The sequence below is a fragment of the Homo sapiens genome, chromosome 6 (assembly GCF_000001405.40).
Source record: "Homo sapiens chromosome 6, GRCh38.p14 Primary Assembly".
NCBI lineage: Eukaryota > Metazoa > Chordata > Mammalia > Primates > Hominidae > Homo > Homo sapiens.
The window spans coordinates 15,878,244-15,905,589 of NC_000006.12; the positions used below are offsets into that span (position 1 = coordinate 15,878,244).

The window sequence follows — 27,346 nt, forward strand, 5'->3', positions numbered from 1 at the left end:
TAAGAGAAGTCATCTCTGAGAGCCTTGTTTCATGTTTATTTTCAACTAGATCCATCCTTTTCCCATTCCTAGCATTCACGCTCCCATCCCAAATCACTGAAGGGTTTCAGGTCTTGTTATAGGAACTATTTTTTAAAAAGTGTTTTTTTGTTTTGTTTTGTTTTTTGAGAGCGGGTCTCACTCCGTCACCCAGGTTGGAGTGCAGTGGCACAATCTCGGCTCACTGCAACTTCCACCTCCCAGGCTCAAGTGATCCTCCCACCTCAGCCCCCACAGTAGCTGAAACTACAGACATGCGCCACACACCTGGCTAATTTTTGTATTTTTTGTAGAGATGGGGATTCGCTACATTGCCCAGGCAGGTCTCAAACTCCTGAGCTCAAGCATTCCACCTGCCTCGGCCTCCCAAAGTGCTGGGATTACAGGCATGAGCCACCATGCACGGTCTAGGGAACTATATTTGATACAGTTGTGATTGTAGGGAAAAATGAGAGAAATGGAATATTTACCCATAAAGTGTAGTTATAAAATTCCTTTAAATTTTCTATTTTCTTCTCCAATATACTTGGAAGCTCAATATATTAATATTCTAGATGTGCTGAATACCCCCCTCTTCTGTCTCTGAGAACACTTACAGTCCTCGCCATTCATCTGGCCCTCCACAGAGTCTGCCTTAATACTGAGGCTGGCTTTTCCACAAGTGCTTTCTCCTTCCTTAGTAGTTACTCACAGACCACAGTTCTTGGTGGTCACCTGTAGACCTGGTTCTGAAGAAGCAGCATAATTGTTACCTGTTTTTCTTCCCAATAGACTCTGAGCCTCCTTGACGGGAAAGATTTTCCTTCTGGACCTCCATCTCCCTGGTGAAAGAAAGGTGGCACATGGCAAATCTTCAACAAACGTTGGCTGTTTGAATGGATTGGTGAAGGATGAATGGATAAATGAAGTGCAGATCCCTTGCAATTGGAGTCTGTGTTAGGGTCTGTGTTATACCTCCTGTATCCTTGGTACCTGGCACTGTTCCTTGAACAGAGTTTTTAAACCCGTGGATGCTCTTTCAGCATGGAAGTCACTGGAATCAGTATTTAGGGGAAGAGTTATGAGTTGTTCTTTATTTCTCTATTAGTTATAACCAGCTTACTTCCACAAAGAGCTTAAAGAAAAAGAACATTAAGACTAGGACTTTTTCTCAAACATCTTACAGATTACAGGATTGTTCTTTTGAACTCTGAAAAATAAGCTGGTTTTGCTGTCAACTTTATGATTGGGTCAGAAGTCATCAGTGCTTTAACAACAGAATCTTGGGTGTGGTGTTTCCATGATTTCACCCAGGCATGTTCCCAGCATGAACATAAGGGAGGGAACACATGATTAAATAACGGTTTTTAACATCTTGTCACAACTACATGTTTAGCCGGACTCTCAATAAAAAATGAATGTGTCCTCAGAGTCACTTGTCTGTTTTAGACACATTTCTAGCAGCACTTTGAACTTTCTTTAAAACATCACACGCCCCTTGAAAGCAGAGTCTGTGCTCTCAGGCTATGTGTGCAGTGAGTGTCTATAAATCCGCAATCACTTTCAAATCTATGGGATTATAAGGCCAGGTCATCCCATGCCCTCAAAGCTGAATTCCAACTTAAATCAAAACCGTTTTCTGACTTAAATCACAAGTGCCCTGACTGGTATGCTCACAACTTTCTTTCCTAATGACTAAAATGGTCTGTGTGTGTGTGTGTGTGTGTGTGTTTTTCTCAGTTTGGCTCTCCCCCTTTCCCCCCTCGTCCCATCTTTCTCCTTATCTCAACAAAACCATCAATTTGCCAAGTAACCACTGTGGAAATTTCATTAGAGCTGCTGTATTTTACTGTAAATATCACCCACCCAGGGCATCCGGTTGAGCGGCACCAGATGTGCTTTCCTGGCCGATCGCCAGCCTCTGCTGAGCCATCGCCCTAGAAGGACATTTTCACCTCTGTGAGTTCGTCACATCAAGAGTAGCTCTTTCCAGAGACTTCTGTTAATAACAGAGAAAGTCTGTCTTGCTTTGTGCTTTAAATTGTGTGCCCCATGTGCTGGAGCTGCATCTGCACAACAGTCTAAAGGCGAACAATTGGGCTCTGTGGTGTTTTGTGGTGTATAAAGTGAGATTCTCATTCTGTCCTAATGAGATGAGTCCAGGCGACTCTGCACACCACTGTAGGGTGGATTGAAGAGATTTGGCAGCCTCTCCATTCCCTCTTCTGGTTTTGGTTTTCCCACCTCTTTACCCACCCAGGTTTCTCCCAACCTGCTCTTGGTACAAGCTGAAGCTCCAACCCTCAGTATCTTAGCATGTGACCTTATTTAGAGATAGGGTCTTTACAGGGGTAATCAAGTTAATATGAGGACATGTGGGTGAGCCCTAATCCCATATGACTGGTGTTCTTTTCTTTTTTTTAACTTTTATGTTCAGGGGTACACATACAGGTTTGTTTTATGGGTAAACTCATGTCGTGGGGGTTTGGTATATATTATTGCATCACCCAGGTACTAAGCATAGTACCTGTTTTTTTTTTTCTGAACCTCTCCCTCCTGCTACCCTCCTCCCTCAAGGGGGCCTCAGTGTCTGTTGTTCCCCTCTTTGTATCTCTGTGTCCTCATTATTTAGCTCACACTTATAAGTGAGAACATGAAGTATTTGGTTTTCTGTTCCTGCGTTAGTTCCCTTAGGATAAGGCCTCCAGCTCTATCCATGTTCCTGCAAAGGACATAATATTATTCTCTTCTTATGGCTGCATAGTATTCCATGGTGTATATGTGCCACATTTTATTTATTCAGTCCACCGTTGATGGGCATTTAGGTTGATTCCGTATCTTTGCTATTGTGAATAGTGCTGCAATGAACACATGCGTGCATGTGTCTTTATGGTAGAATGATTTATATTCCCTCGGGTATAGATCCAATAATGGGATGGCTGGGTCAAATGGTAGTTCTGTTTTTAGTTCTTTGAGGAACCACCACACTGCTTTCCACAATGGTTGAACTAATTTAGACTGGTTTAAGAAGAGGAGCAGAGACGCAGAGGCAGATGTGCAGAGGAAAGAGGATGTGATGACACACAGGAAGAAGACGGCCATGTGGCTGGGGTGATGCCTCTACAAGCCCAGGAACACCAGGGATAGCCAGCAAACATGAGGAACTGGAAGAGGCATGGAAGGCTCCATTCCTAGAGCCATCAGAGAGAGGATGGCTCTGCTGACACCTTGATTTCAGACTCCCAGCCTCCAGGACTGTGAGAGAATACATTTCTGATGTTTTAAGTTGCCCAGTTAGTTCTTGGTGTCTTGCAGCAGCAGCCCCCAAAAAGGAGTACCCCTCTCTTTCTCCCACTCTGCTCACAGCAGCTGTCTTCCAACTCAGGGTCGTTCCACAGTCATGCTCCGCTCTAGCTGCATTCCAAGTGGCAAGTTTTTCTCTCTTTGCCCTCCAGCCCTCACAACGTATCAGTCTTTGTCCACTTCTCCAATGCCTCAGTGTCTTTAGAGTTATTAATAGTGAAGGGACTACCTAAGAACAGTGGCATCTTAGGGCACGGCTGCTGGGCTGACAGGTCAATGGTCTGGGTCCAGGTTGTACATAACATCTACCAGAGGTTTCCCAGGAAAAATGGCTTCCACTGTTTCTCAAACTGGAATCTGAGGTCTCTCTAAGAGTTGTTTTTCTTGAGACAGGGTCTTGCTCTGTTGCCCACACTGGAGTGCAGTGGCACAATCACAGCTCACTGCAGCCTCGACATCCCGGGCTCAAGCAATCCTCCTACCTCAGCCTCCTGAGTAGCTGGGACGACAGGTGCATGCTACCACGCCCAGCTAAGTTTCTAATTTTTGGCAGAAATGGGGTTTCACTATATGGCCCAGGCTAGTCTTGAATTCCTGGACTCAAGTGATCCTCCCACCTCAGCCTCCCAAAATGCTGGGATAACAGGCATGAGCCATTGTGCTCAGCCACTCTGAGAGTTTTTTATCTTGTGTTTTCATTTACAAGACCTTCTAAAAAGTTATTAGTCTTCCAATTATAAAATCAAAACTTCTGTTTTGCAGTGATTATTACAAGCAAATATAATTTTTAAATCCATTTTCCTCGAACACTTTTTTCCCCCCTTAAAAGGGGGCTATTTATTTCTCAAAATTAAGAAACCATGATGCAAATGAAAGGAATGGTCGGACAGAAACCTGGGCTGAGAGGCCTTTGGTCTTACCGCTGGCTTATTCTAATTTTGAGCTGGATCTCATTCAATGCCAAGCCAAATTTGCCAGCTCATCATTAGCCATTACATGTACAGATATATTTGCATGAGGATTTTAGAAAATAAAAACAATTGCTCACCTGTCTTTCTATCAACTGAAACAGCCTTTCCAAATAACACTCTCTTTTCCCCTACCGCACCTCATGGAGCAAACATGCTGTGAGCAACTTTTAAAATAAATTATTCAGAATCTTGGAGGTTGGAAGATGGGGCAGAAGTCCCCTGGAGTATTTTGAAGTAAACACCAAATTATAAATGAAGAGCTCTTTATACACAGGTTATAGGGGCAGGAACAAGGACGGAGTGGATGGGCTGGATTCCAGCCCCTGGCTAACCTTCAGGAAAACAACTGAGTCTCAGTTCACCGGCTGGGAATCCTGAGGGGTAGTGCCCCTGTCTCTGAGGGTCTAGTGGAAAGGTTCCCTGATGAACCTCTGTGTGGATGCATGTGTGGGGGAAGAGTTCTCTTCTCCAGGCCTGGTTTCCACCGTCTGGGCATCATCTACCCCTAACGGAGGTGTGCTGTCTCTGCTCAGGCTGCAGAGAGGACGGGTGGGCCTGAGCGGAAGCAGAGAGTGGGAAGAGATGGCCTTGGGCATGCAGGAAGCCCTCTCTGGGCTGCCTTCCAAGGGCCTGATTTCCAGCTCTGCCGTGGCCCATCCAGGACAGAGGGCTTCAGCAGCTGTTTGGAACAAGGCTTAGTCTAGGAGACAATCTGACAAGGTATAAGAGACGGACCCAACATGTCTTTGGGATGAGTTGATAAACAGCACAAGGTTTATAATTAGATCCCTGATTATCCTAAATTTCTAAAACAGAAGATTTTTGCTTTCCCTTCCTCTCCCATGGTAGAAAACTGGAAGGCATGCAGACCACCCTGGAAGAGCCCTCTTCCCAGAACTCTGGGGGTATAAAGGCTTGCCTAGGTAGGCCAGGACTGAAGAATGACAGGTCATGTCATCTTTTGCCAGATACTGGAAAATTCATTCTAAACACACATACAAAAAATCCCCATTGCATTTAATTAAAATATAATATGGCCAGGTGCGGTGGCTCACGCCTGTAATCCTAGCACTTTGGGTGGCCGAGGTGGGCAGATCACCTGAGGTCGTGAGTTCGAGACGAGCCTGACCAACATGGAGAAACCCCATCTCTACTAAAAATACAAAATTAGCCGGGTGTAGTGGCACATGCCTGTAATCCCAGCTACTCAGGAGGCTGAGGCAGGAGAATCGCTTGAACTCGGGAGGCAGAGGTTGCTGTGAGCTGAGATTGCGTCATTGCACTCCAGCCTGGGCAACAAGAGCAAAACTCTGTCTCAAAAAAATATATATATGTGTGTGTATATATATACGTATATATATATGTGTGTGTGTGTGTGTGTGTATATACGTATATATACACATATGTGTATATATTATATATAAAATATATATAATATATATAATGCATACTCTCTGGGCATGGTGACTCATGCCTGTAATCCCAGCACTTTGAGAGGCCAAGGAGGGAGGATTGCCTGAGCCCAGGAATTTGAAACCAGCCTGGGCAACATAGCAAGACCCTGGCTCCACAAAAAATTTTAAAAAATAAGCCTAGTGTGCTGGCACATGCCTGTGAGTCCCAGCTACCTGTGAGGTTGAGGTGGGAGGATCATTTAAGCCCAGGAGGTCAAGGCTGCAGTGAGCCATGATCACGCCACTGTACTCTAGCCTTGGTGACGGATAGAGACCCTGTCTCAGAAAAAGAAAAAAAAGTGCGTAAAAATGATGAAAATATCACATCATAGAAAACTATATTCAGTGAAAACAGCCAGGCACAGTGGCTCAAACCTGTAATCTCAGTGCTTTAGGAGGCCGAGATGGGCAGATCACTTCAGGCCAGGAGTTTGAGACCAGATTGGCCAACATGGTGAAACCCCATATCTACTAAAAAAAGAAAAAATACAGAAAAGATTAGCCAGGCATGGTGGTGTGTGCCTGTGATCCCAGCTACTCAGGAGGCTGAGGCAGAATAGCTTGAAACTGGGTGGTGGCAGCTGCAGTGAGCTGAGATCACATCACTGCACTCCAGCCTGGGTGACAGAGTGAGACCCTGTCTCAAGAAAAAAAAAAAAAAGAGAGAAAAAAGAAAACTATATTCAGTGAAAAGTAAGCTTTCATTTCTTCCAGATCAGGTGCTCTCTTTTCAGAGGAAACCAAGAATACATTCTTCTACATATTTTTCTGTGCATCAACAAAGATATACGTGTATCAGTAAACATATCTGTTGATATTTATATGACAGAATACTATACCCAATATTTGTGATCTCGCTTTAATCACTTAACACATCTCAATGCTCTTTTTTTTTTTTGAGATGGAGTTTTGCTCATGTCACCCAGGCTGGAGCGTGTGGTGGTGCGATCTCAGTTCACTGCAGCCTCCGCCTCCCAAGTAGCTGGGATTACAGGCATGCATCACCACGCCCAGCTAATTTTTATATTTTTAGCAGAGACAGGGTTTCACCATGTTGGCCAGGCTGGTCTGGAACTCCTGACCTCAAGTGATCTGCCCACCTCGGCCCCCCAAAGTGCTGGGATTACAGGCGTGAGCCACGGTGCCTGGCCCCTCAGTGCTCTTTTTATCTCTACCTAGAATGATCCAACTTATTTTAAAAATCTTCATACTACCAGTGCTGAAACAACATTTTCCACACATTTCTTAGGTGTGCAAGTTTATTTGCCAGATATATTCCTAACAGTAGTGGAACTGTTAGATCAAAGGCATATGAATTTTTCATTTTGATAGATATTGACAAATTGCCCTCTAAAGAGAGCATGTCGATTTATATTCCCTGCCTGTCTGCACTCTTACCAGTGCTGTGCATTTTAAAACTTTCTGATCTTTGCAAAACGTATGAGTAAACAAATGTGTCTTCAGTGATTTTCTTGCTTCCAGTCTTGCTCCTTTTGATTCACTATTCACTCTGCAGCTAGGGTGTGAGTCCAATCCTGTAACTCAGCTTTAGAAGATGCTTCCATGGCTCCTCACCGTCCTTGAAATAGAGTCCCATTTCCTTGACTGGCTCACAAGGCCTTTTGTGTTTGCGGTCCTGTGTAGGTCTCTACTGCCATCCCTCATCTCTTGCTGCCTCGCACTCCACATTTCAGCCATGCTAAACTACTCAGTCTGCTCTCCCTCACCTCCTTCCAGACCTCTTTCCCGTGCTCCACCTGCCTGAGAATACTTTCCACTGCCTGTCTTCCCTACTCTGGCTCACACTCATCATTCTATTTTTGGCTTAGATGTGACATCTACCAGGTTATAACAGGGATGCACTGGCTGCCTCCACAGCCCTCTTACTTCGCCTTTTAAATTATGCAACACTTGGTATATCAAAATAGTATGTAATATACACGTACGTTATGATGCAGAATCATAAAAATAAACCTATGCACCTACCAACTGCAACTGAAGAAACAGATGGCTGCCAACACTGTAATATGTGCTGCTTTCCTATCCATCATTACTCTTACCACACTGGGTGGTAGAGAATCTATACTTGTCTCTATTTCCCACTGGCATCTGAGTCCTGGGAAACAGGTCTGGATCTGACCCATGCATAGTGGTATTCCAAGGCCAAGCATAGGGTGTGATAAGTTGCAATCACTTAATAATATTTTTAAATTGAATATAATAATAGTCAGAAAGGGGAATTTTTTTTTAATAGCCAGGCTCTCAGAAAACAAGTCAGTTATTAAGAACTTATCATCAGTTCACACTGTACTTTGGGTCATTTTTCCAAGGTCAGAGATCAAGTTGTATAGCTTAAGCCTCCTTGTCTGCCTCCTTTGGTGAGGTAGTATGCTATGACTTTTCATTTCTTTTCTTTTTTTCTTTCTTTCTATTTTTTGGTGGGCGGTACCATTGCTTATTTTAATTTTTCAGTTGTGTATCAATAAGGCTGAACAGTTTCTGAAGTACCAGGAATCTATATTAATATTATAATTGCAAAGTGAGTAAACTTACTCTTCCATGGTAATAAGTAATTCAGTTCCTGTCCAAAGCGAGAAATGTCATTCGTGACACTGATTTCACAAATTAAATGCTATCAGCTACTTGAATTAAATAAGGAAACATATCACTAATGGAATTTAAATTAAGGTAACAATAGTAACTCTAATTTAATAAGGGTGGACCTCATGCTAGGCACACTGTAGATTTTTTGCTGATCTTTACCATTATCCTAGAAAGATACGAATGATTATTTCTGTGTTCAGATGAGGACATAGAGGTTCAAAGGGCGAGGGATTGAACCAATGCCACTAAGCCTGGACATCAGAGAGCCAGAACGGGCATCAAAGTCTGTGTCTCCACAAAGCCAAGCCCCTTCCCCCATATCACACAGCATCTCAAACACCATAACTAAAGAAATAGCACAATGCCTTTAAAAAGTATTTTCCTTATTTTTTTCTTTAATTTACCCTGGTCTATCACTTAAAAAAATCATTTTTATTGTTTTAAAATTATAACCTTTACTATTTTTTTACATGGTATTGGATATTTACTAAAAAGAGTATAATAAAGTAGTATGTTATTCATGATAAGTGCTAAAAGGAAAAACAAAGCAATGTAAGGGGATGGGAGGGGACAAGTCTGGATGTTTCGTTAGAAGAGGAGTTCAGAGGAACTTTCTTTGATAAGATGATATTTGAACAGAAACCTCAGTGAAAGGAGGGAGGGAATCTGTGGAGATATCGGGGGTAGAAGGTGGGGAAAGAGGGGTCCCGGGCAAGGTGCACCTGCCTCAGTGTGTACATTCACACCTAATTTGTAGCATATCCCAAGCTATAATATGGCTGTTTACATTTTAGAAGAGATTCCCCTACATTTTATGGAGCTTATGAATTGAAAAAGTTCTCTTAAGTCCTCAAAACAACCGATTTCTCTTGACTTCCAGACCCCCAAGAGCAAGCTGCACCTTTGCCTGCTTCCTGTTGACTCTGAATGAGGAGAAGGTTGCTCAAGCACGCACTCCCACTAGTGAAGCTCAGCAGAGAGCTGGTGATTGGGGACTTAATGAGATGGCACCTGTGAAACCCAAGTACATGCATGAAAGCTTATTGCTATTTTGGTTTTTGTAAGATTGAAAGTCAGGGGCACTCAGCATGGTCATATTTATCAAGCAGAAAGACATAATTCTCTTGTGTATTAGAAGTAAAGGTCCCATTCAAAGCGCATGTGTATTTCTATCTCTCCAGGCATGCTGGGGCCCGTTAGACCAAATACCACGTGGATGGTCTCAGCAGACAGAAAAACTCCACGGAGTTCTATCTGGGTAGAGGAAGGCCATCAAAGGGAGATATTGTCCAGGGCCTGAAAGTGGCACCAAAAAAAGAAAGGGTGGATCTTCACACAGGATGGGTGGAGGGGAAAGGAGGGAAGCTATTTAGCTAGAAACAAAACAAACCCACCCAGAATGAAATTGCACAATAAAAGGAGGAACAGAGAGTTCACAGTGCCAATTCGAGAATAAGTTCAATGCATATTCTAGCAAATTAGTAAATAAAACAGGATGAAATAGTGGATCAAGAAGGATTATTAATGAAAAGAACCATGACTTTGGGTTGCTAGGCTCCAGCTTGAGAGTCGCCAGCAGGACTAGATATGTCTGGTTAAGGTGGGTGGAAGCTGTCTCCATGTTCACAGTCATGTCTGCAAAAATAGAATTGGGATGATGAGAAAAGCCTGAAGGAAAATAAGCTGCTCTTCTACTCTCTCCATTCCTTGTGCATTGCTTCAATTTAACCTTACTAAACAAGCGCCGGCCTGCAGAAAGATGAGTGGTGTTTTCTATTCAATTAATCATTGAGGTGCTCTCCCAAAGAAACCGTCTGTCAATAAGACACATTTGGAATGATGACAGGAGACCATGGACTATTAAACAGTAGAATGATGTGGATTTTCAGCTCACTTTCAAGGTTTCAGAGAGCACATACAACAAACACTTTCCTTCTAAAGACTCTAGGACCCCCACACTGTTGAATAAATGACTGTGTGTGTGTGTCTCTCTCCATCTCTCTCTCTCCTGCTCTGCAACATTTATGAAAAACTAGTGCAAAAATTGTGCATGGTTATGGATTCTCAAATCAAGTTTCCCCTGGGTTATCATTCAGATGAACTTAGCAAGAGAATCTTATTGGTGATAATAATTATGATAATGAAAGTAACTTCCAGGCTGCGTGTGGTGGCTCATATCTGTAATCCCAGCACTTTGGGAGGCCGAGATGGGAGGATTGCTGGAGCCCAGGAGTTTGAGACCAGCCTGGGCGACATAAGGAGACCTCATCTCTAAAAAAAAATTAAAAATTAGCTGGGCCTGGTGGCTCACGTCTACTTGGGAGGCTACTTGGGAGGCTGAGGCAGGAGGATGGCTTGAGCCCAGAAGGTTAAGCCTGCAGTGAGCCATGATTGCACCACTGCACTCTAGCCTGAGCCTGGGCAACAGAGTGAGATCCTGTCTCCAAAAAAAAAGTAACCTCCAATATTTGCACAGGTCCTTATGGTTCATACTTAGTCCCCACAAGAACGCTTAGGTAGTACATATCCCCATTTTATACCTAAGAAAGCTGGCTTAGGCACACGCTGCCAGAATTTGGAAGCAGTCAGCAGAGCAGTCCTAGGGAGTGCTAGGTCTGAGCGGGACTGGACCCTTTATCTCCCTCTGCTTTCCTCTCTGCCCTGGCCAGAGAAGAGCACCAAACACATGCTGTCAATCCTCACTCTGTCTCCACAGGGACGCCAAACGTCCTGTGCTACTAACAGACTTTCCACATGTGGAACTCCTTATGGCTCACAGCAGTTGGGAGACAACGACACTGCTGATCAACCAACTGCTCTGCTGCTGGTCTTAACAAGCAATGATAAAAAAGACCCATCAACTTCTGAGGTCGGCCTCCCAGAAGACAAAGCCTTTGTTCCCAATGTGGAATCAAGTCCTTGAGGGCGCCAGCTCTGTGTCTGTGCTTCCTTCAGCACCCTGCTCTTTTCCTCTTGCCAAATAGAAACCTTTTGAACTAGCATTTCTCAAAGTACTCACCAGAATGTTCCAGAAGATGTTAGGCAATGGAATGTGGAGAGGGTGGTGGGAGGATTCTGTGATCAAATGTGCTTGAGAAATGCTCTTGAAGATTTACATGCACACTAGTATAGTAAAGTTTCTGAGGAATCCCACAGTAAAGAACTATTTAATTTTATTTATTTTTGTGGTTCAGATTCTCCTTTTCTTTCTCCTCTGAACCCTACCCATGTCTAGTGGAATATTTCTTTACCCATTATAGAATTGTAAAATTATGCAACCCTCCAAAATAATATCAGAGCAAGGCCAGGCGTGATGGGTCATGCCTGTAATCCCAGCACTTTGGGAGGCCAAGGCGGGCAGATAACCTGGGTCAGGAGTTCAAGACCAGCCTGAACAACATGGCGAAAGCCTGTCTCTACTGAAAGTACAAAAATTACCTAGGCATGGTCATGTGTGCCTGTAATCCCAGCTACTCAGGAGGCTGAGGCAGGAGAATCACTTGAACCTGGGAGGCAGAGGTTGCAGTGAGCCAAGATCGTGGCATTTCACTCCAGCCTGGGCGACAGAGTGAGACTCTGTCTCAAAATAAACAAACAAACAAAAAAAGACAAAATAATATCAGTGCATAGAATGTTCTGGAAATGCCTAGCTTCCTGAACATGGCCTGGTATACAGTAGGGCTTACAGTTGTTGAACATTTTTAGGTATTTTATAAATCAATCCCCAGTATTTATGTAAAAGAATGAAACTATAGCCAATTAAACAATCATGTTCATTTGACACTGCTATTGCTCAGTGGTTCTCAAATTTTGTTGCAGTTAGAATCACCAGAGGGAACTTTAAAATTTGTGATGCCCGTGCTGCACCCTAGACCCATTCAATCAGAACTGTGGGATTGTAGCCAAAGTATCAGTATTTTTTAAGTTCTCCAGGTGATTTTTATGTGCAGCCAAAGTTGATAACAAAAGGTATGAATAATTATGCAATGGCAAAGAGCAGATAAGGGACTGAGAAGAGTTTCTGGGATGGGTGATATGCATCACTTGAAAATTGTCCGTGAATTTATGAAATTTGTCCTGTCAAAACCGAGATAAATGCTAGAGACTTAGCCTATAGTTTTACCTTTCTAATCAGTAAACATGTGTTTCTAATAATGCATGCGAATTAGTTTAATTATACACAAAAAATTCTGGTTTATGTAGATTGCAGAAAGCTGCAGGTTGGACATTTGTTGCATCATATGGCAATTTGGTTCAAGGTGGACAAACACAGGTAACAATGAAAGACACCGAAGAGTTGGCTTGTAGAATGGGGTTTTGCGGATATGTAACACAATTGATTTATGAACCAATTTCTATGCTGAATACTCTGGAAAACGTTCCCCTTCCAAACTATTAGCCCATCATGGATACATACTAATGGTGGCTGAGTGCTGAAGCTCAGGTGATTTTCATCACTCGGGGCATCATGAGGAAAGAAGAGGCACTTACGATGGAGCTTAGATCTCTCAAGGAAGAGTAGATCTTAGGCCACATGGAGAGTTCTGAGTAGTCAGGAATAAGTAAAAGTAAAAATAATAATAGCTAGACTTTACTAAATACCAGGCTATATTATATATGTCAGTTATTTCATGCAATCCTTGTTTATGAGAGAGGTACTATTTTTATCTCCATTTTCCTGGCGAGGAAACTGGGGGGATTCAGTGAATTTGTGTATGCAAAGTGCTTGGCACCGGAGCTGGCACATGACCAACACTCAATAGTGGTGGCTCCTAATTTTTGGATCATAGAATGTTAGAGTTGGAAGAGACCTTAGAGATCATTAGTGAAACCCATCATTTTATTTCTTAAAATAAAACCGGCCGGGCTCAGTGGCTCACGCCTGTAATCCCAGCACTTTGGGAGGCTGAGGCGGGCAGATCACCTGAAGTCGGGAGTTGGGAGACCAGCCTGACCAACATGGAGAAACCCCGTCTTCACTAAAAATACAAAATCAGCCGGGCACAGTGGCACGCGCCTGTAATCCCAGCTACTCGGGAGGCTGAGGCAGGAGAATGGCGTGAACCCAGGAGGCGGAGGTTGTAGTGAGCTGAGATCACGCCACTGCACTCCAGCCTAGGCAACAAGAGAGAAATTCCATCTCAAAAAAAAAAAATTAATAATTAAATGAAATGAAACAAAATAGTAACAATAGAGGATTTCAATATTTAGAATCTGCCTGAGATTCGGCTGTGATCCAATGTTAAGAGTGCTGGTAAAATCCCATCTACCAAATCCCTCCTCTACAGATAGCATTGTTCTTTGCTCCTGATGGCTGGAGTCCCTTAGGTAGAGACCCCACAGGGCCTTTAAGCTGTGGCCATAGAACAGCATTCCCTGACCACCCGCATTGTGTCACCCTGGAATAGAGGCTCTGACTGGCATGAAAGACGGGGAAGGAACATTCTCTTTCCCTAAATGTCCACAGAGAGATACAATTTTAGAATAACTAAGCATAGGCAGGGCACAGTGGCTCCTGCCTGTAATCTCAACACTTCGGGAGGCTGAGGCAGGCAGATTGCTTGAGCTCGCAAGTTCGAGACCAGCTTGGGCAACATGGCAAAATCTTGGCTCTACAAAAAATACAAAAATTAGCTGGGCGTGGCGGCACACACCTTAGTCCCAGCTACTTAGGAGGCTGAGGTGGGAGGATTGCTGAGCCCAACAGGTGGAGATTGCAGTGAGCTGAGATTGCCTCACTGTACTCCAGCCTGGGCAACAGAGCTAGACCTTGTCTCAAAAAAAAATAAAAATAAAAACATAAAAAAAAGAATAATGAAGCATAAATGACTAGATATGTCACTTACCAAGGATATAGGAGTCAGCTCATTTTTTATTCATTCACTGGGCAACTATTTATGGAGTAGGGGTTAACACTTATTGAGCAATCACCATGTGGTAGATGCTGTGGATGTTGTAATGTGCCTCCGAGATCCTGCTTCTTGAATGAATGATTTCAGCTGGAGGGAGTGCTGTTGGCAGGCAGCCTTCAGCTGTCAGCCCCCTTCAGAGGATGCCTTAAATAAAGAGAGCTAATTTGCCCAAGGATACACCTCCAACACATCCTGGGCTTTCTCTCATCCAATGACTTATTGAAATAGGGTGCCAGGGAAGTGATAAAAGCATAGCCCTCTTGCCCCAACCCAGGACAGTTCTGAAAGATTGTCTTATGTTCAGAACTCCCTGCAGAGTTGACTTGTCTTTCAGCCCTTCCCCATTCCTGTTCCTAGCACTTTATCCATTCATTCATTCATTTCACAAATATTAATTAAGCACTTTTCATGAGACAGAATCCACAGGCAAGAGTATATTGGATATATATTCAACAAACTCTACACCATGTAGACTCTACCTCATGTTCATGATGCAGAAGATGTCCTCAGGGATGAAAAGAATCTAATAGAACATTAATATTAATTCCTTGCTTGGGTCTCTGCTAAAAAAAATGTAGAGAAACTCTCATTAAACTGTATTTAATAGAGACAAATAATAGGAACTGAACCATGTCATAATAGATTAATTAATTCTCCCAAAACTAATTGAGAAAGGAGTTGTCAATAGATATCGTCACTGGAATCTAATGGTTTAATTTGGCAGACATCCCAGATAACATTTGGGGTCTATCTGTGTGGGATAAACCTTGCTGCCTTATTCTCCAGGAATGAATACATAGGTATTCCAAGTACAAATGCAGAGTTACCTGAATGCTTATGCAAGCATATTATGGGGTTTTGGTGTACTGTATGAATTAGTAGCATAATTAATAACAGGTCTACATATAAGTAATGCATAAAATATATTATATTTATCTGAAAGTGTTTCAGTAAAATAATGATATTCCATGTTTTAAAAAATAAACTTTATGAGGGAAGAAATGTTTATTACTATCATATGATTTTTTGATAATTTTTTCTAACGATTATGATTTACAGACAACTGATTTTTATGTTTTGGCCCAGTTTTATTTTCATACTGAGGAAGTAAGAAGAAATATTCAAGTTTTTCAAGATGGAGTGAGAGGAAATAGCCACTTCATATGGTGCTCTAGGATAAGAATTCTGCAATCAACAACAAAATACATGTCCTTAAGACGGTGTCATGGCTTAACTGTGCCTGCAATTTATGCATTTTACCACCAGAGGGAGATAAGGAATAATAGTCATCGGAAGCTCCTGAGCCTACAAGCTCCTAAGTGCGTCAATTTTTTTGATTGAAGATAATTCACTCTCCCTCTAAATAATAAGCATACATTTTCAAATTTTGAATGCACTATATATTTTCTAAAATATAAAAATAAGCTATTTTTAAGCAATCTATTTACTGAAAGACAATACCTTAGAAACAGGGGTCAACAAACTTTGTAAGGCAGATAGTATAGTAAATATTTTAGGCTTTGTGAGTCATGATTTCTGTTGTAACCACTCAACTTTGCCATGTAGTTGAAAACAGCCATAGGCAATATGTAAATGAATGAGTACCCTATTTCAAGAAAACTTTAGTTATAAAATCAGACAGTGGGCTGGGTTTGGCCCATAGGCTATGATTTGCTGATCGCTAACTCAAAATTAAGTATTACGAATTCAGTTGCCTACAGTAAAGCAGGCTCTGTAGAGACCATGACAAATCAGGGAGCACATATTTTATTTAATAGCCAGCTCCACTCAGCTCCAGCCGATAGTAACTAGGCAGAATGTGAGCCTAGCATGACCAGATCTTTCTATTTTTCAAAAACAGATGGAAACCTGTATTTTTACATATTTCCCTATTTTAAAATTTTGGCAATTAGTTCAGACACCACCACCACCACCACCATACACACCTTGGGTACCCAGAAAGCAACTGCACAGACTGCATTTGTCCTGTTGAGCAGCTTCTGCTGCAGAGCAACTTTTAAAAATTAAAAATTAACCAGGCTGGGCATGGTGGCTCATGCTTGTAATCCCAGCACTTTGGGAGGCCAGGGTGGGTGGATCACCTGAGGTTGGGAATTCGAGACCAGCCTGACCAACAAGGGGAAACCCCGTCTCTACTAAAAATACAAAATTGGATGGGCGCGGTGGCGCGTGCCTGTAATCCCAGCTACTCAGGAAGCTAAAGCAGGAGAATTGCTTGTACCCGGGAGGTGGAGGCTGCAGTGAGCCGAGATCACGCCATTGCACTCCAGCCTGGGCAACAAGAGCGAAACTCCGTCTCAAAAAAAAAAAAAAAAAATTAACCAATATGCTGAAGACAGATGTGAAGATTTCTATCATTCTTTCATGTAAGTAAAGGAAATCAAAATATTTTACCCCAAAATATATTTCTTTAACATATTTTGAAATGGCTGCTGCAGAGCTGGCAAAGCGAAATGGCCTTGCAAAGCTGTCTTTTATGGGGTAAAATCTGCATCTGTAGAGAATCTCCATTAACACAACCAGGCTCTAGGAGAGATTCAGAGTCTTACACCTTTAAAAGTCTAAAAAGAAACATGTACCTTTGAGGGAGCCTTTATCTACATAATAATGCCAGCTCTGCTGACCAAGCCTATTTCTTTCTCTGGCCCTTAAACTGTCCTGCCACCAAAACCTGTTTGGGGGCAGGCACTGAGTCGTCATTCTTTCTTTAATCTCCAGATAGTATAAAAGCTTCTGTATTGTTGGGTTGGATCTTCATTCTGAAAGTTCCTGTATAGACATGCTAAATTGTATACCTTTTCTGCTATTAATCAACCTGCCTCATGTCAGTGACTTTTTTTAGTGAATCTTTAGAGGGCCAAGAGCCTATGGCCCCCACATAAACACTTACATAGCACTGATTAAGTGGGAGGCACTATTCTAAGTGCTTTGTCTATATTAGCTCATGAATTATCCTCACAGCAACCTTGTAAGGTAGGTGCTATTACTGTTTCACCCTGGGCAAAGAGAAGCTGAGTAATACCCAAGGTTACACAGCTGAGGTCTGGCAGAGCTGGGATTTGAACCTAGGCAGCTCTAAGGTAGAGTCTGTACACATAACCCATTAGGCTGTAACTTATCGGAAAGGGGTCTTGATCCAGACCCCAAGAGAGGGTTCTTGGTTCTTGTACAAGAAAGAATTTGGGGCGAGTTCATGGAGTGAAGTGAAAACAAGTTGATTAGGAAAGTAAAGGAATAAAGAAGAGCTACTCCATAGGCAGAGCAGCAGCACTGGCTGCTTGTCTAAGGACATTTATAGTCATTTCTTGATTATATGTTAAACAAGGGGCAGATTATTCATGAGTTTTCTGGGAAAGGAGTGGTCAATTCCTGGAACTGAGGGTTCCTCCCTGTTTTAGACCATATAGGGTAACTTCCGGATGTTGCCATGACACCTGTAAACCGTTATGGCACTGGTGAGAGTGTCTTTTAGCATGCTAATGTATCATAATCAGTGAATAATGAGCACTGAGGACGACCAGAGGTCACTTTTATTGCTGTCTTGGTTTTGGTGAGATTTGGCTGGCTTCTTCACTGCATGCTGTTTTCTCAGCAAGGTCTTTATGATCTGTACCTTGAGCTGACCTCCTATCTCATCCTGTGACTTAGAATGCCTAACCTCCTGGGAATGCAGCCCAGTAGGTCTCAGCCTCATTTTACCCAGCCCCTATTCAAGATGGAGTCACTCTGGTTCAAAGGCCTCTGATGTAACCGTCTCCCTTCCATGGCTGCTTTCCTCTCTTAATCCTGCACTAAGCTACAGCAATAGAGAGAAGAAGACTCTTGTCTCTCTTCTAACTAGACTTGGGCCTCAGGGTCAAGGTTTCTTCCCAGTCAACTTATCTTCCCAACCCAAGTGTGGACTTTGTGGCTTTGGGGAAAGTCAGGTCTGAGATGACTTCATCCCCTACTGTGAGGCAAACTCCCTAGCAAATGTCAAGTTGAAAGTTTGGATCACCCCATCACTTCTGTGTTTATATTTTATTGTAATTATTTTTCAGTAAAGCTTACTGCTCTGGAATTTGGATTAACTCTACACACAATATTTAGTTTAATTATCCATCGTGCTTTTCTAATTTGTTCTAGCAAGCCCCAAGAAAATGACTTCAGATAATGTGTGGAAAGATTTCTTTCTTAAAGCTACAGTAACTGAATATAAGAAAAGGCCATCAAATGGAAATTAAAATTGCTTTAAAAGGATAGTGATAACTCATGTCTAAGTTTGCTCAGTTGAAATCACAGTTTTGAGAGAGAAGTAGAATTTTTTTTCTCTAGCAAACTTAAAAGAAATGACGAATTAGGTACTTGTGTCACTTTTCTAAAATGCAGCTATGAGTTTTATTGCTGATTCTTGAAGATATTCTGAAAAGTAATTTCAGCTGCAAAGGAAATGCAGGAGGCAAAACAAATTATAGTCCCTCTTTTCAAAAAATGTGAATACCTCTGGGAGACCAGTGAAGCTATCAGTCATACACAATTTAATATGCAATACTTTTTGCAGCAATGTTTTCCTTCTAATGCCCACAGAAGCTAGATTCTGCTGGGAAAGGAAAGTTTTAGAACTTCTGGGGTCACGTGAGGCTTATGGTGATAATGCATGTAGTTTCGTAACAGAAACAGGGTTTGCCTGGAACTGTCCCAGTTTTAAAACTGAAAGTCTTGTATCCTAGGAATGCCCTCAGTACCAGGCAAACCGGGACACTCAGTGACCCTAAGATCACCGGACGGCGTTTGTGATTTCCTGTCTAGTTCTGCTCTCACTTCCCTCCTCTCCTCACAGCTAAGCCATCTTAACTGCTACTTACAGATATGGCCCCACAGGCTCTGAATAACCTCCTCAGTGCTTTCCAAACCTCCTTGACTGTGGGAATCACCTGGGTGCTTGCCAAACCCAGATTCCCAGGCTGCACTTTTGGTAATTCTCATCCAGAGGTTTGCAGTAGGTCCTGAGAGTCAGTGAATTCACCAAAGCCAGGGGAGTCTTATAATTGGAGAAGTTTGGGAAGCACTAATTAGCCTACATTCAAAGGGGTATGCAAGTACTCTAGTTCAAGAACCAGGAGGCTCAGTATAATCCACACTCGCTGTGGCCTGGCTTGGCCACTGGGACTGTCAGAGGCATTCGAACCAGAACAACTTCATCTTGAATAGGGGCTAGGTAAAATGAGGATGAGACCTGCTAGGTTGCATTCCTAGGAGGTTAGGCTTATTCACAGGATGAGATAGGAGGTCAGCATAAGATACAGGTTATAAAGACCCCACTGATAAAACAGGATGTGGTCAAGAAGCCAGCCAAAACCCACCAAAACCAAGGTGGCAACAAAAGTGACCTCTGGTCATCCTCACTGCTCATTATAGGCTAATTATAATGTATTAACATGATAAAAGACACACCCATCAGTACTATAACAGTTTACAAATGCCATGGCAATGTCTGGGAGTTACCCTATATGGTCTAAGAAGGGGAGTAACCAGCCCAGCGCAGTGGCTCATGCCTGTAATCCCAGCACTTTGGGAGGCCAAGGTGGAAGGGTCACTTGAGATCAGGAGTTCAAGACTAGCTTGGTCAATATCGCAAAACTCCCGTCTCTACTAAAAATACAAAAGTTAGCTGGAAGAACCCTCGGTTCCAGGAGAAACCCCTGCCCCATTCCAGGAAAACTCACGAATAATCTATCCCTTAAGTAGCATATACTCAAGAAAATAACCATAAAAATAGCCCGCTAGCAACCCTTGGGGCCGCTCTGTCTATGGAGTAGCCATTCTTTTATTCCTTTACTTTCTTAATCAACTTGCATTCACTTTACCCTATGGACTCACCCTGAATTCTTTCTTGCACGAGATCCAAGAGCCCTTTCTTGGGATCTAGGGATCGGGACCCCTTCCCAGTAAGAGGACCATTGCTAGCAACTGGTTTCCAGGGGGCTCCCCACACACTTAGGAACTGATCCCTGAATATTTGTCCAGGGGCTGACCTTTCCTGCCTGCTGACAGAGGTCTCTGCTTCTTCCTGCTTTTCTGAATGTCTGGAAATAGCTTATTCTGAGAGTCGCCATTTTCTGTCCCTGTACTCTCATGGAGTCTACCACTCTCAAGGTCATTGCCCTGTGTGTGGAACTGCCACATCTCACCTCTACCTGCAGCTGAGTTTGCTTCTCTGTGAGTCTTCACTGTTCCTGGCCTCTCCTAGTTTCTCCTGTAGACTGTGTTTAATGCTTTTCTGTCAAAATGTTTTAAGAGATTCACCACGATGAGAAGAATGCAAAAGGCAAGGGATACTGCTTAAGGGTGTGAGCCCCTGAGCTGACTGCTGAAGTTGAACTCCAGCTGTGTGATCTTTGGCCTCAGTTACTTAACCTGTGAAATGGGGATAATCATAGTATTGATTTCCTTACATTGTTGGCAGGGTTAAATGAGAAGATATCTGTAAAGCATTTAGCATGGTGCCTGACACCTTTGAAACTGTAAATGTTAGCTATCATCATCACTCTTATTATTACTAGTGCTCTTATCATCATTAATTGTTATATTATTTTTACTAGGAAGTAGGAGAAGGATATAGAAGATAGGGCAGGAGAAGATCCTTTATCTTTTAAAAAATTTGCCATGGAGGCTGAGTGCAGTGGCTCATGCCTATAATCCCAGCACTTTGGGAAGTTGAGGCAGGAGGATCACTTAAGCCCAGGAGTTCGAGACCAGCCTGGGCAACATAGAGAGACCCTATCTCTACAAAAAGTCAAAAAATTAGCCATGCATGGTGGTATGCGCCTGAATTCCAGCTACTGGGGAGGCTGAGGTGGGAGGATTGCTTGAGCCCAGGAAGTCAACTGTGTAGTGAGCCTTGATCACACTACTGCCTCCAGCCTGGGCCACAGAGTAAGACCCTTTCTCAAAAAAACGGCCAGGTGCAGTGGCTCACACCTGTAATCCTACCACTTTGGGAGATGGAGGCAGGCAGATCACTTGAGGTCAGAAGTTCAAGACCCGCCTGGCCAACATGGCAAAACCTCGTCTCTACTAAAATTACAAAAATTAGCCAGGTGTGGTGGCATATTCCTGTGGTCCCAGCTACTTGGGAGGCTGAGGCATGAGAATCTCTTGAACCTAGGAGGTGGAGGCTGCAGTGAGCCAAAATCACACTACTGCATTCCAGCCTGGGTGACAGAGCAAGATTCTGTCTTAAAAACAAAACAAAACAAAACAAACAAACAAAAAAACCGAGCAAACAAAAATTTGCCAGGGGCTTTTGAAAGAGATATTCTCCCTCTTCTTCATCTGCTCATCTTCCTCACCATACCAAAGGATTACAGCAGCTGCAGTTTCAAAAAGAACATCAGGATACATGACCTGACCATTCAGTGGGAAGAATTTAATTTCCAAACACTTCTAGAAAATTCCAGTGATATGATCAGGCATTTGATTTCTGCTTAGAGGACCAAGAATGTAAGCTAAGACTATTTAGTATAGATACATTGGATGTATGGAAGTTTTATGGGATGGTCTATAAATCCAGCCTCCATACATGTTGTGAAACCCTAATAGCCAACTCACATCTGGATTTTAGCAATATAACCCATTGCTATGACAACTATTAATTATATCATGTTGTGCCCCAACTCAGTGCACTGGAGTACTCTCCAAAGGGAAACACATTTACATGAATCAATTTATCTTTCATCTCATATCAAAGAAGCCAATCAGATTATTTTTGCCCAGCGGATCTATTATTAAAGGAACAATTTTGTCTTTAAGTCCCTACTTATTGATGAACAGAATTCATCTTATTTATAATACCAGTATGAAAGGCAAGGTCTTCTGCAGATTAAAGAAAGCTAGTTACTTCAGCAGTACACTTCAGACGTGTACATGCACAGGCCAGCAGTCACTATTTTTCCAGAGTCCTCTCCACATGGAAAGGTTAGAAAAAAGGAAATCCCAATTGCACTCTCAATTAAACAGCCACTGAGTGCTCCAAAGTATGGTTTTTAGCAATGTACTTTATTTTTATTTTTATTTTTGGAGATGGAGTCTTGCTCTGCTGCCCAGGCTAGAGTGCAGTGGTGCAATCTCAGCTCACAGCAACCTCCGCCTCCCGAGGTCAAGCTATTCTTCTGCCTCAGCCTCCTGAGTAGCTGGGATTACAGGCGCCCGCCACCGTGCCTGGCTAAGTTTTTTTGTATTTTTAGTAGAGATGGGGTTTCACCATCTTGGCCAGGCTGGTCTTGAACTCCTGACCTCGTGATTACAGGCGTGAGCCCAGCCAACAATGGATGTTTTTGACTCTAGGTCTCTTGCACGCAACATCTCAAGCTTTCCAGCAGTGGTAGTGTTACCAGTGGTGGAATTCACACAAATCTGCAGCAAACTCGATCCTTGTCTCCTTGGAGGAAAAAATTCTGCTGAGGGGCAGACACAGGTTTAAAGCAAAGGGAAAGACTGAGGCAAGTTTTAGAGCAGGGATGAGAGTTTATTAAAATGTTTTAGAGCAGAAGCAAAAGGAAGCAAAGTACATATGGAAAAAGGCCAAGCTGGCAACTTGAGAGGCCAACCGCCCCATTCAGCCTTTGACTTGGGGATTTATACATTGGCATGATTTTGGGGCTTTCTTTTCTCCTCCCTTGATCCTTCCCTTGGGGCGGGCTGTTGCTCAACCACCACATGCACAGTGTTGCTCAGCACTTGGGAGGGTGACTGCGTGCATAGTTTATTTTACTGCAGTTGCGCGCATGCTCTCTAGGGGCAATTTTCCTTTACCGGTCGACTGTTCCCAGGTGAAGGTCATATACCTGCCACTTTGCCTCTTAGTGTGCATGCTTGGGCCTGCTTGTCCAACCCCTGAACTCTTATTGAGAAGCTGCTGATCACCAGCTCCAGGTATTTTCTATCTACTGGGAGCCTGTCTTTGCCTGGTGCCGGCTGTGACCAATTATCATTTCAGAGAGAGTTTAACAACCGCCTGATCATCACCTGATGGTCACCTGACACTCCTGGGGGTGCCCTCTCCTGCCCTGCTCATATCTGCCTATCTACTCTAACAGTAGAAACATTCTAACACACACTTTATAGTTTTCACGTGGCAGCTAACTTTGTACAGGCATTGCAAATTCAGATGGGAAGAGCTCCACCTATGATTTTTGTCTGAGACTTTAAGGTTAGTAAAGAAGGTCAGACGTTTCTCCTCCCCTGGGACTCCCATGAGCTCAAAACCTCAAAGATGTTTCACCAAAATGACAGGCAATGTTATTTTGGTTAGAGATATGCTTCTTCAAGGAGAAGTGAAAGCATCTCAGCTTCAGGAGTGATATGACTGTGTGCCCTTGAGCACGTTTCATGGCATGGAAATGAAGAGACCACTCCCTTCAAGGCAGTGAGTCATAGCTCCGTTGGGGTCCATGTTGCTCCTAAGAATCCTTTCAAAGCTGGGCATGGTGGCTCATGCCTGTAATCCCAACAATTTGGGAGGGTGAGGCAAGAGATGTACTCGAGCCCAGGAATTTAAGACCAGCTTGGGCATATTAGTGAGTCCCCATTTCTCCAAGAACTAAAAAATTAGCCAGACATGGTGGCACCCCCCTGTAGTCGTAGCTACTCAAGACACTGAGTGGGAGGATTGCTTGAGCCCAGGAAGTTGAGGCTGCAGTGAGCTATGATTGTGCCACTGCACTCCAGCCTGGGTAGCAGAGCGAGACCCTGGCTAAAATAAAATAAAACAAAAAAAAACTTACTTGTGTTGGGTGCCTTTTGTGCTGTCCACTCAGGTGACATCCACCCTGGCCTCCTCTTCCTTGGCAGTCCTAACCATAGCACTCAGCACTTTAGCCTGTAAGGGATGTTAGTGGAGTGTCCACAGCTAAACCAGAACCTACTTGGGAGTGGAGACTGTGAGCTGTCCCTTTTGTCTCTCATAGCTCCTATAATTCCAGTGACTGGCCAGTGTGGTGTCTCATGCCTGTAATCCCAGAACTTTGGGAGGCCGAGGTGGGCGGATCACCTGAGGTCAGGAGTTCAAGACCACCCTGGCCAAAATGGTGAAAACCCGTCTGTACTAAAAATGCAAAAATTAGCTGGGCATGGTGGTGGGTGCCTGTAGTCCCAGCTACTTGGGAGGCTAAGGCAGGAGAATAGCTTGAACCCGGGAGGCAGAGATTGTAGTTAGCCAAGATGGTGCCACTGCACTCCAGCCTGGGCAAAAAGAGCAAGACTCTGTCTCAAAAAATAATAATTCTAGTGGCTGATGAAGATGAAGAAGAAAGATGATGATGATGACAGGTTAGCAGCAATAGCAGCTAACATTTTGGACTACCAAAGCTGATGCTGAACTGTTTTCACTGGATTTCTCATTTCATCCTCACAAGAATGCTTTGTGGTACAGATAAAGAGGCTGAGACTAAGAGAGGTTAAACGGCTTCTTAAGGTTGCCGTAGGGTTGAATAGTCTCTCCCCAGTATTCATTTCTACTCAGAACCTGTGAATGTGACCTTATTTGGAAATAGGATCTTTATTAAGTTTAAGATGAAGTCATACTAGATTAGGTTGAGCCCTAAAGTCAATAATTGGTGTCCTTAGAAAAAGAGGAAAATGTGGACACAGACACAGAGGATGCACACAGGTTAGGAGGCCATGTGAAGACAGAGGCAGAGGTTGGAGTGATGCTGCCACAAGCCAGGGAATGCCAGGGATTGCTGGCAACCACCAGGAGCTAGAAGAAAGACATGAAGCAGATCCTTTCTCTAAACCTCCGGAAAGAACCAACCCCAATGACACCTTGATTCTGGCCTTCTAACCTCCAGAACTGTTAGAGAATACATTTCTGTTGTCTTAAGCCACACAGTTTGTGGTAACTTGTTACAGCAGCCCTAGCTGATGGATATAGTAGTTTCACAGATACTTGGTTGAATAAACTGACTTGGGTGGTGTATTAGTCCATTCTCACGCTGCTAATAAAGACATACCCAAGACTGGGTAATTTATAAAGGAAAAAAGTTTAATTGACTCACAGTTCCACAGGGCTGGGTAGACCTCAGGAAACTTACAATCATGGTAGAAGGGGAAGCAAACACATCTGTCTTCACATGGTGGCAGCGAGGAGAAGTGCAGATCAAAGTGGGGAGAAAGCCCCTTATAAAACCATCAGATCTCATGATCTCACTATCATGAGAAGAGCATGGAGTAACAGTCCCCATGATTCAATTACCTCCCACAGGGTCCCTCCTATGACATGTGGAAATTATGTGAACTACAGTTCAAGATGAGATTTGGGGCCAGGCACAGTGGCTCACACCTGTAATCCCAGCACTTTGGGAGGCCAAGGCGGGCAAATCACTTGAGGTCAGGAGTTCGAGACCAGCCTGGCCAACATGAGGAAACCATGTCTCTACTAAAAATACAAAAATTAGCTGGGCGTGGTGGCACACACCTGTAGTCCCAGCTACTTGGGAAGCTAAGGCAGGAGAATCGTTTGAACCTGGTAGGCAGAGGTTGCAGGGAGTAGACATTGTGCCACTGCACTCCAGCGTGGGCAACAGAGTGAGACTTTATCTCTCAAAAAGAAGAAAAAAAAGATGAGATTTGGGTGGGGACACAGCCAAACCATATCAGGTAGTGACTTGAACCAACCTATAACTCACCTAACTCATCTGAGAGATCTGCATAGCATTGATTGCTATGAGAATCCAATGTAATAATGTAACTGCCCCATGGGTTCTCCTTACCCTCTGCCTAGACAGAGCTGATTTATTAAGACAGGAGAATTGCATTAGAGAAAGATTTCAATTCATGCAGAGCTGGCTGTATGAAATTTTATTATTACTCAAATCGGTCTTCCTGAGAATTTGGGAATTGGAATTTTTAAGTATAATTTGGTGGGTAGGGGCCAGTGAGTTGGGAGTGCTGATTGTTTGGGTTGGAGAGGAAATCAAAGGGAGTTGAAGCTGTCCTCTTGCACTGAGCACTTCCTGGTTGGGGGCCACAAGACCAGATGAGCCAGTTTATCGATCTGGGTGGTGCCAGCTGATCCATGGAGTACAGGGTCTGCGAAATATTTCAAACACAGAACTTAGGTTTTATATTAGTGACGTTATCCCCAGGAGCATTTGGGGACATTCAGAATTTTGCAGCCTCCAGCAGCATGACTCCTAAACCATAATTTCTAATCTTGGGGCTAATCTGTTAGTCCTGCACAGGCAGTCTAGTCCCCGGGCAGGAGGGGGATTTGTTTTGGGAAAGGGCTGTTACTATCTTTGTTTTAAACTATATGTTCCTTCCAAACTTAGTTCGGCCTATGCCCAGGAATGAACAAGGACAGCTTGGAGGTTAGAAGCAAGATGGAGTTGGTTAGGTCAGATCTCTTTCACTGTAATGATTTTGTCAGTTATAATTTTTGCAAAGGTGGCTTCAGTAACACTTTTGCCACAACAAAATCTTTGGCTCTCAGTGTGCTTTGTTGTTTTGGTTAAAGTACTTCATAAAGTATAGCAATGCAAGCATTTGAATATGCACAGAACCCCTCTGGAGTCATCCACAGGGAATTGGTAGAGGAGGTGGTCTCTGTGTAACTGCCCAGCGGGTTCTTCCTGCCTACTGCACAGACAAAACCAATTCACTGAGACCACAGGATTGTAATGAAGAAAGAGTTTAGTAGACACGAGGCTGGCCATGCCATGTGGGAGACAGAGTTGTTACTCAAGTTGATCTCCCAGAAGATTCAGAGGCTAGGATTTTTCAAGGATAGTTCGTTGGGCCAGGGAGTCTGCTTCTGGATGAGATCAAGACTGGTGGGCAGGGGCCTGTGGGTCCGGGTGGAGCTATTGCCAAAATGCAAAAACCTGAAAAGACATCTCAAAAGGCCAGTCTTAGGTTCCACAGTAGAGACGTTACCTGCAGGGGTAATTGGGGAAGTTGCAAATCTTGTGATCGCCAGAATAATGGTGGTAATCATTTACATCTATACCTTAGCAGAATTCAGGTTCTTCACATCCTCCCCGTGGCATTTCACTCTCTTTACAAAGGCATTTAATTTTGGAGA

The 27,346-nt window shown here is 43.3% G+C and overlaps 7 annotated features.

The window, feature by feature from the left end:
* Positions 2,015 to 2,064: an enhancer, noted in NCBI's record as "active region_24088". NCBI's record gives its function as "activates an Ori minimal core promoter by ATAC-STARR-seq in GM12878 lymphoblastoid cells {active_cell/tissue: GM12878}" and the evidence as "EXISTENCE:reporter gene assay evidence [ECO:0000049][PMID:35858748]".
* Positions 18,015 to 18,309: an enhancer, noted in NCBI's record as "tiled region #4250; K562 Activating DNase matched - State 5:Enh". NCBI's record gives its function as "activates a minimal TATA promoter and a strong SV40 promoter by Sharpr-MPRA in K562 cells {active_cell/tissue: K562}" and the evidence as "EXISTENCE:reporter gene assay evidence [ECO:0000049][PMID:27701403]".
* Positions 18,976 to 19,025: an enhancer, noted in NCBI's record as "active region_24089". NCBI's record gives its function as "activates an Ori minimal core promoter by ATAC-STARR-seq in GM12878 lymphoblastoid cells {active_cell/tissue: GM12878}" and the evidence as "EXISTENCE:reporter gene assay evidence [ECO:0000049][PMID:35858748]".
* Positions 23,067 to 23,156: an enhancer, noted in NCBI's record as "active region_24090". NCBI's record gives its function as "activates an Ori minimal core promoter by ATAC-STARR-seq in GM12878 lymphoblastoid cells {active_cell/tissue: GM12878}" and the evidence as "EXISTENCE:reporter gene assay evidence [ECO:0000049][PMID:35858748]".
* Positions 23,337 to 23,616: an enhancer, noted in NCBI's record as "active region_24091". NCBI's record gives its function as "activates an Ori minimal core promoter by ATAC-STARR-seq in GM12878 lymphoblastoid cells {active_cell/tissue: GM12878}" and the evidence as "EXISTENCE:reporter gene assay evidence [ECO:0000049][PMID:35858748]".
* Positions 24,117 to 24,176: an enhancer, noted in NCBI's record as "active region_24092". NCBI's record gives its function as "activates an Ori minimal core promoter by ATAC-STARR-seq in GM12878 lymphoblastoid cells {active_cell/tissue: GM12878}" and the evidence as "EXISTENCE:reporter gene assay evidence [ECO:0000049][PMID:35858748]".
* Positions 26,929 to 27,078: an enhancer, noted in NCBI's record as "active region_24093". NCBI's record gives its function as "activates an Ori minimal core promoter by ATAC-STARR-seq in GM12878 lymphoblastoid cells {active_cell/tissue: GM12878}" and the evidence as "EXISTENCE:reporter gene assay evidence [ECO:0000049][PMID:35858748]".